The 7,867-nt window shown below is 43.6% G+C and overlaps 1 protein-coding gene and 1 long non-coding RNA gene across 2 annotated transcripts; one reads left to right on the top strand and one right to left on the bottom strand.

The window, feature by feature from the left end:
- Positions 1-2,593: 2,593 nt before the first annotated feature.
- LOC124907993 (uncharacterized) lies at positions 2,594-3,473 on the bottom strand. The gene is made up of 2 exons (XR_007088113.1): positions 2,984-3,473; positions 2,594-2,791 (listed from the first exon to the last, which is right to left on the bottom strand). It is a non-coding gene; the product is annotated as an uncharacterized LOC124907993 (long non-coding RNA).
- Positions 3,474-7,318: 3,845 nt separating this feature from the next.
- On the top strand, positions 7,319-7,585 carry SCYGR1 (small cysteine and glycine repeat containing 1). Its single transcript, NM_001395402.1, has one exon. The coding sequence runs from the start codon at positions 7,319-7,321 to the stop codon at positions 7,583-7,585; it is 267 nt and encodes an 88-aa protein (NP_001382331.1).
- The last annotated feature ends 282 nt before the right edge of the window (positions 7,586-7,867 follow it).

Below are 7,867 nucleotides of genomic sequence, written 5' to 3'. Positions count from 1 at the left end.
AAGCAGATGCCAGAATCATACTTTCTGTACTGCCTGCAGAACTGTGAGCCAATTAAACCTCTCTTCTTTATAAATTATCCAGTGTCTGTTATTTGTGTTTTTTCTTTATTTTTTAAAATTTTATTTTATTTTATTTTGAGACAGTTCTCACTCTGTCACCCAGGCTGGAGTGCAGTGGCACGATCTTGGCTCACTGTAACCTCGGCCTCCCAGGTTCAAGTGATTCTCCTGCCTCAGCCTCCCAAGTAGCTGGGATTACAGGCACATGCCACCATGCCCAGCTAATTTTTGTATTTTTAGTAGAGATGGGCTTTCACCATTTTGGCCAGGCTGGTCTCGAACTCCTGACCTCAGGTGATCCTCCCACCTCGGCCTCCCAAAGTGCTGGGATTATAGGCATGAGCCACCATGCCCGGCCTATCTTTTTTTTAAATAGGCAAGGAAGGCATTTCTTTGCAGCAGTGTGAGAATGGACTAATATATGGTCTCTCACCTGGAGTTGTGAAGGGTGGAGCCTGAAGAAGAGATAGAGGATTTTTGCCCGCAAAGCAAACTCAAAACTGGACCTCAGGTCCTGTGGCCCAATGGAGCAAGAGGCCAAGATACAGGAGACAGGGCTGAGAAACAAAAAGTGGAACAAGCAAAATAGAAAGTGGGCTGGCAAAATGCCACAGGTGCAGGCGGTGCCCTCTCTGGCTTTATGCAGGGGATGGACAGAGCCTGCTCCCTGGGATCACCAAGACCTGGCCTAAAACCTCAGCTCTAAGTCACCACTGGGGAAGCCTTGAGGAAAGCATTCAAACTCTTTGAGTATCAGAATCTTCATCTTCAAGAAGGAATACTGGAGGTCTTTATTATCCAAGGATCATTGGTACAGGTTTTAAAAAAAGAAAAACTTGAAGTGGCTTGAAAGAGGAACTACAGTTTGAGATTAAATAATTTAGGAGTGTTTTGGTTACAATCCTAGCTTTAGAAATGAAACTCAAAATTATAAATAAAAATTATTTTGTTTCATAGTTGAGAAAAACATAGGTTATCATTACAACAATGTGCTGATTTTTAGAACAAAGAAAAACTCAGATTTATTTACAGGGCACTGGCATATTTTTCCTGACAGCATTCTCACGCTGGAGGACTTCATCTGTTTTCCTAAGGGTCTCTCCTAATGCTTTCATATGCAAAGAATTCTCTTTCCATGATGTGGCATCCTCGTGTCAATACATTTCATGCAAGAACAGATAGGGAATGAACAAATATAATTGTTTTCAATTTTAATTTACTTTTAATTTTACATAGGTTTTAAAAATTTATAGAAATCATTTTTATTCCTGGAGATATGGTAGACTAGATATCTTAAAAAGCCTTCCGTCTCCACAAAACATTTAGGAATTCGGGATAAAATAGAACAAACGCCCCTTTAAGTGTAGAGCTGGCTCAGAATAAAGGCAGCTCCCAGAAGAGATGGAAAAGGGCCACAAGCTAGATGCTGCAGCTGCCTTGGGCCGGGCAAGGGCAGAACTGCCGCAGAGACATCTGCAGAAAGTGCCGAGCTGCAAAAGGCCCCCAGAGCTCCAAGGAAGGCTTGGAAAAAAATCCACCATGACAAAGTGAGATATTCAGTATGTCTGCTGCAGCTTGTGGTAGTGGGTATATGGTAAGTAAGTGGGAGATTTGGAGAAACATTGTTTGCTATGTATCTTTTCAGATACACACACACACACACACACACACACACACACACACACAGCCATATTCAAATGAGTTTATATGGTTCTGCAACTTCTTTTTTTTTCCTTTTCCTTTGTCTTTGAGATCTTTTGCACTATATGATTTGTCTCATTTTATAAAAAGCTGTATAATAGCATACATTATGGATATGATTTCATTTGAAATTACAAAAGAAACACTTTATACTTTCAATTTTCCTTACTTTGCTCACATTTATGGGTGATTTTCTGTTTCCTGCAATGAGCATGGAAGCTTCAAGGGGGAGGGATTTGTGTTGAGTTTTTTCAGTGAGATATCCCATATGCTTAGAAAAGTGCTTATCGTCTGGGCACGGTGGCTCAGGCCTGTAATCCCAGCACTTTGGGAGGGTGAGGTGGGTAGATCATTTGAGGTCAGGAGTTCGAGAGCAGCCTGGCCAACATGGTGAAACCCCGTCTCTACTACAAATATAAAAATTAGCCAGGCATGGTGGCACGTGCCTGGAGTCCCAGCTACTCTCCTCAGGAGGCTGAGGCAGGAGAATCGCTTGAACCTGGGAAGCAGAGGTTGCAGTAAGCCAAGATCACACCACTGCACTCCAGCATGGGCAACAGAGTGAGACTGTCTCCAAAAAAAAGAAAGAAAAGTGCTTATCACATAGTAGACTCTCAGTAAATATTTGCTGAATGAATTGAATTAATAAGCTATACTTGAACCCATCCCCCCACTGACTTGTAAGTTTGTGTGACTCTAAACAACACTGCAAACATTGTCATGCGCTGCCACATGCACAAAACTGCAGTCAAACATCCAAGTCTAAACAATGGTGGTCACTAGATGAAAAGCTGTATGGAAAATAACTTCTGCTGAGAAACAAGCAAGGCAATTTGCTAGTTGGTTCATGGTTTATTTATTGCAGATACATAATACATGATTATTAGAATTGCTGCTCAGATGTCTTCTAGGAAGTTTTAATATTGCTCTGCCGCTGAGAGTGTATGGGACTCCAAAACAGCCCCACATTCGCTTTCCTTTTGCTGTCGCCCTAGTTCATGTCCTTCCCAAAGAAGCATATTCCTTTTTCCTGTGGGACAAAGAAGGTAGAGAGGCCGGGAGCGGTGGCTCACGCCTGTAATCCCAGAACTTTGGGAGGCGGAGGCAGGTGGATCACTTGAGGTAAGGAGTTTGAGACCAGCTTGGCCAACAGGGCGAAACCTTGTCTCTACTAAAAATTCAAAAATTAGCTGGGCCTGGTGGCGAGCACCTGTAATCTCACCTACTCGGGAGGCTGAGGCAGGAGAATTGCTTGAACCCAGGAAGCGGAGGTTGCAGTGAGCCGAGATCATGCCACTGAACTCCAAACTCGGCGCAGAGAGACTCCATCTCAAAAAAAAAAGAAAAAAGTTAGAGAAAGTAAGCTCTTGGCTACTTCCCTTTTATTGCTTCAAGTTGAGCCTATGGGCAGAGCTGAGCATTTTGGAGAGATGGGAAATAATAAATGCCAAGATTCATGTGGAATTCAGATGGAAGTCAGCATCCTATGAATGAAAATAAATGTTTATTTTCAGTCAGGCAATGAAACGTGGAATGTGACATCAGATCAAAAGAATGACCACATAATGGAGACACAAGACCTGAAGGAGATTTCGTTTGTTTGTTTTTCTTAAGCCATGAAGTGAGAGGGACCTGCACAAGCCAAACACCTGGAGGGGGCTACTTTGCACCCGCTGTGCATTTTCCTAATTCACCATGGCTCCCCTTCCAATTTCACATTCAAGAACATTTCCCCAACAGTGTCCTACCTATAGCATCCCACGAACAACAGAAGGAATGACCAGGTATCTCATTTTAAAGAATGTGCTCTCTTTTATCTTAATATTGTTCTTCCTCAGGTGATTTGGGGAAGGACAATAATCAGTTCCCCACACCACACAACACCCCCCCTTTTTTTTTCAAGACAGTCTTGCTCTGTTGCCCAGGCTGGAGTGCAGCGGCATCATCTCGGCTCACTGGAACCCCCGCCTCCCGAGTTCAAGTGATTCTCATGCCTCAGTCTCCCAAGTAGCTGGGATTACAGGTGCCTGCTGTCATGCCCGGCTAATTTTTGTATTTTTAGTAGAGATGGGGTTTCACCATATTGGCCAGCCTGGTCTCGAACTCCTAACCTCAAGTGACCCGCCCCCTTCGGCCTCCCAAAATTCTGGGATTATAGGCGTGAGACACTGCGCCCAGCCTATTCCCTTTTTCTAAGGGCAGTGGCACCTCCTTCCAAAAGTTAGATTTGAAATGGTCCTACCCAGACCCTACCTCCTATCCAATGACTGAAGGGAAATAGTATCTCGGGGTTTCCCTCCTAGAAGGTGTGGTTTTGAGCATCATAACCGACTTCCCTGCAGGAAGAACAGCTCCCCTGCTCCATGGGCTATTGGGATTTCCTCTCCCCTGTCTAAGCCGTCAGTGATCCCAGTCCCCCGGGGATAAACACAAACACAAACATCTGAGAGCAGCTTTTGAGCCGCCTTCCTAACTGGCCCCATCTATCACAGGGCTCCTCCCTCCCCACTGTGCTCCAGGTCCACCATCACACCATTGTGTGTCCTGAGCATGCCCTGCTCTCTGAGCTGCTGGGTCATTGCATGCCTGGGCTCGGATGCCCTCCATTTTTGTTAGCACGTAGGCCTAGCCCTATCATTTGCAGGACTGAGATTTGAGTACAAAGGGAAGCCTACAGACGGTATGTTCAAATATTTAAAAGTGATAGATCATGTTACCGACTTTTAAATAAAATGTATTCTATCCTTCCGCCTTGTCAAATACGCCTTCATAACAACTAAACGAAAAACAATGTGTAGGCCCGGCACGGTGGTTCATGCCTGTAATCCTGTCCGTGGCACTCGAACCAGAGCAACTCCATTTTGAGTGAGGGCTGGAAAATGAGGCCGGAACTTGCTGGGCTGCATTCCCAGAAAGTTAGGCATTCTGAGCCTCTAGATGTTTATGGTTAAGGGAACAAATTAATAATGTTTACTCAACAGACCCAGACTTAGGAGTGTCTAGATATCCCAATATCTGGAGAACAAAAGCATTCCTAATTTTGCTTTAAAGATAATATTATAGATTCTTGCAAAATATAGTAATTAAGAAAATTAATCCTTTATCACAAACCCTTATAGCAGAGTACATCTCCCCATATACACCAGTATTGTACCTAGGGTGGGCGCGTACCTCCTCTTACTTTCAAGAACGTCCTACTCTGTCTATGGAGTAGCTGGTTCTTTCACCACTTTACTCTCTTAATAAACTTATTTTTACATTGCACTGCGGACTCGCCCTGAATTCTTTCTTGCGGGAGATCCAAGAACCTTCTCCTGGGGTCTAGATCGGGACCGCTTTCCTGTAACAATCCCAACACTTTGGGAGGCCAAGGCCGGTGGATCAGTTGAGGTCAGGAGCTCGAGACCAGCCTGGCCAACATGGCAAAAACTCGTCTTTACTAAAAATACGAAAGTTAGCCAGGCGTGGTGGTCAGCGCCTGTAATGCCAGCTACTCGGGAGGCTGAGACAAGAGAATCGTTTGAACCCGGAAATTGGAGGTTGCAGTGAGCCGAGATGGCACCATTGCATTCCAACCTGGGTGACAGAGCAAGTCTCTGTCTTAAAAAAAAAAGAAAAGAAAAGAAAAACAGTGTGTAAATCTGTGGTTTTGGGCAAAATATCAAAGACAGCTGAATTTAATCACTATTGTATTATGGCTAGATGTTCTGCTAATGGGGCAGGATGTTCAGATGAATAATAAAATAATAAAATAATACATAATTCAAAAATCATTTATTTGTTTCAGAATATTTTTCTTACTGTCATTTCAGCAAAATTCTTAAATATTTATAAATAATTTAAAAATAATCTGTATTCTACTGACAGTGATTTAAAAGATTAAAAACAAAATGTAACGGTATTCTAACTATAAAATTTCAATATATCCCATCCCTGTTTGAGACATCAGCGTTTACAGATAACCTTTGTTGAGTGTTTAGCATGTGGTAGGCACATACTAAAGTGTTTTCCTTGCATTAGTGTATCTAATCTGCATAATTATGAAATAGGTGCCATTGTTATCCCCATCTTATAGCTGAGGCAACTGAGGTTCAGGGATAAAGTAATAAAATTGCCTGGGGTCACGTCCCAAAAAATCTGAATAGATTTTTATTAAGAGAACAAAATAAAGGAAGTTAAAAGTAACAAAATTAAAAGTATTTTTCACATCCTTAAGAGTTAACTTTCTTTAAAAAAAGTCTTCAAAATTTTTTAAAATTCTTGAAATTTAAAGACATAATTAAAAGGCAAAATTCAAATTATAAAAAATGAACATCCAAGTTTTAAATAAAATTATTTAAAGGGAACTGCAATATTTATTGACCTTTAAACATGTAAGTGTATTTAAGAAAGTATATTATGAAAGTAAAATTATTAACAAGTCTAGTGTTTCATGTCCATTTATTGCCAACATAAAGAATCAGCCTATTTCATGCATGCTATATCGAGACCTACATGTAAACAAACCTAAGAAAAATATGAATTGTTTCATGGTGCAAACATTGCTCAGTGACGGCATGCAATTTTTGTAAATACCACACGAGCACGTCAGTACCTCCAACAATGGGGCAGAACGCAATGAGCAAGAAACTGGATTCTTGCCACTACTTACTGGAAATATTTTATTACACAAGAATATTGTTTAGTCATGCTGAGAAGAAGGATTTGACAAGTTAACCCATCTTTTCTCTTACTTAGGTATTTTCCAACAAATTCTTGTCACACTTTGAAGGAATCAATCCACAAACCTCTATGGCATGGAGAAGCTGGCAGCCCTTGTTTTGAGGTCGTGGGGCAAGAGACACGAAGAAGCAGGTCCCTGAGCAGTACCAGTCCCAGCTGCACATATTTAGGCTTCTGGGCTAAGCTCTGGGTCCTGAGTGGTGGGGGTGGATTAGGGCTTGCGTTTTTTACATAGATTTTTTTTTTTGTACTCTTGTGATATGTGGGATACTAAAGTGCACGTCCCAGGGCTGGGCCTAGATCTTGCCTAGATCTGAGGTTGGTACTGGGTGCATGAAAAACTCCTGTGATTATTATTATTATTATTATCATTATTATATTTGAGACAGAGTCTCATTCTGTCACCCAGGCTGGAGTGCAGTGGTGCGATCTCGGCTCACTGCAGTCTCCGCCTCCTGGGTTCAAGTGATTCTCCTGCCTCAGCCTCCTGAGTAGCTGGGACTACAAGCGTGCGTCACCATGCCCAGCTAAATTTTTGTATTTTTAGTAGAGACGGAGTTTCACCATGTTAGTCAGGATGGTCTCGATCTCCTGACTTTGTGATCCACCCGCCTTGGCCTCCCAAAGTGCTGGGATTACAGGCGTGAGCCACCGCACCTGTTCACTCCTGTGATTATTGAAGAATCACCAACGGTGGAGACCTCCTCTGTGAAGGAGGGCCCGTGGCACCTCGGCCACAGCTCTAAAATAGGGCTCAAGGCATGACATTGAAACTACTTGTTGCTCCTACTTGATTTTACTTGATTTTACTTGATGAGTCCTCTCTACTGACACCATGGGTTGCTGTGGTTGTGGAGGTTGTGGTGGCTGTGGTGGCTGCGGTGGTGGCTGTGGTGGTGGCTGTGGCAGATGCACCACCTGCAGGTGCTACCGGGTGGGCTGCTGCTCCAGCTGCTGCCCCTGCTGCCGTGGCTGCTGTGGAGGCTGCTGCAGCACTCCCGTGATCTGCTGCTGCCGCCGCACCTGCAGCTCGTGTGGCTACAGCTGTGGGAAGGGCTGTTGCCAGCAGAAGTGCTGCTGCCAGAAGCAATGCTGTTGCTAGGAGGGACCCCAGCCTCTGGGCAGGTGCCCTTTCTTGGGCTTGGATTTGTAGACTTTGTATACTTTCATCTCCTCTGGTTCACCTAAATATTGAGTAGTGGTGGCCAGGCGCCGTGGCTCACGCCTGTAATTCCAGCGTTCTAGGAGGCCGAGGCAGGTGGATCATTTGAGATCAGGAGTTCGAGACCAGCCTGGACAACATGATGAAACCCTGTCTCTACTAAAAATACTAAAATTGGCCAGGCCTGGTGGTGAATGCCTGTAGTCCCAGCTACTCTGGAGG

This window comes from Homo sapiens, chromosome 2, assembly GCF_000001405.40.
Source record: "Homo sapiens chromosome 2, GRCh38.p14 Primary Assembly".
Lineage (NCBI taxonomy): Eukaryota > Metazoa > Chordata > Mammalia > Primates > Hominidae > Homo > Homo sapiens.
The sequence above is the reverse complement of the archived record's forward strand: the minus strand, read 5'-3'. Positions and strand labels throughout refer to the sequence as shown.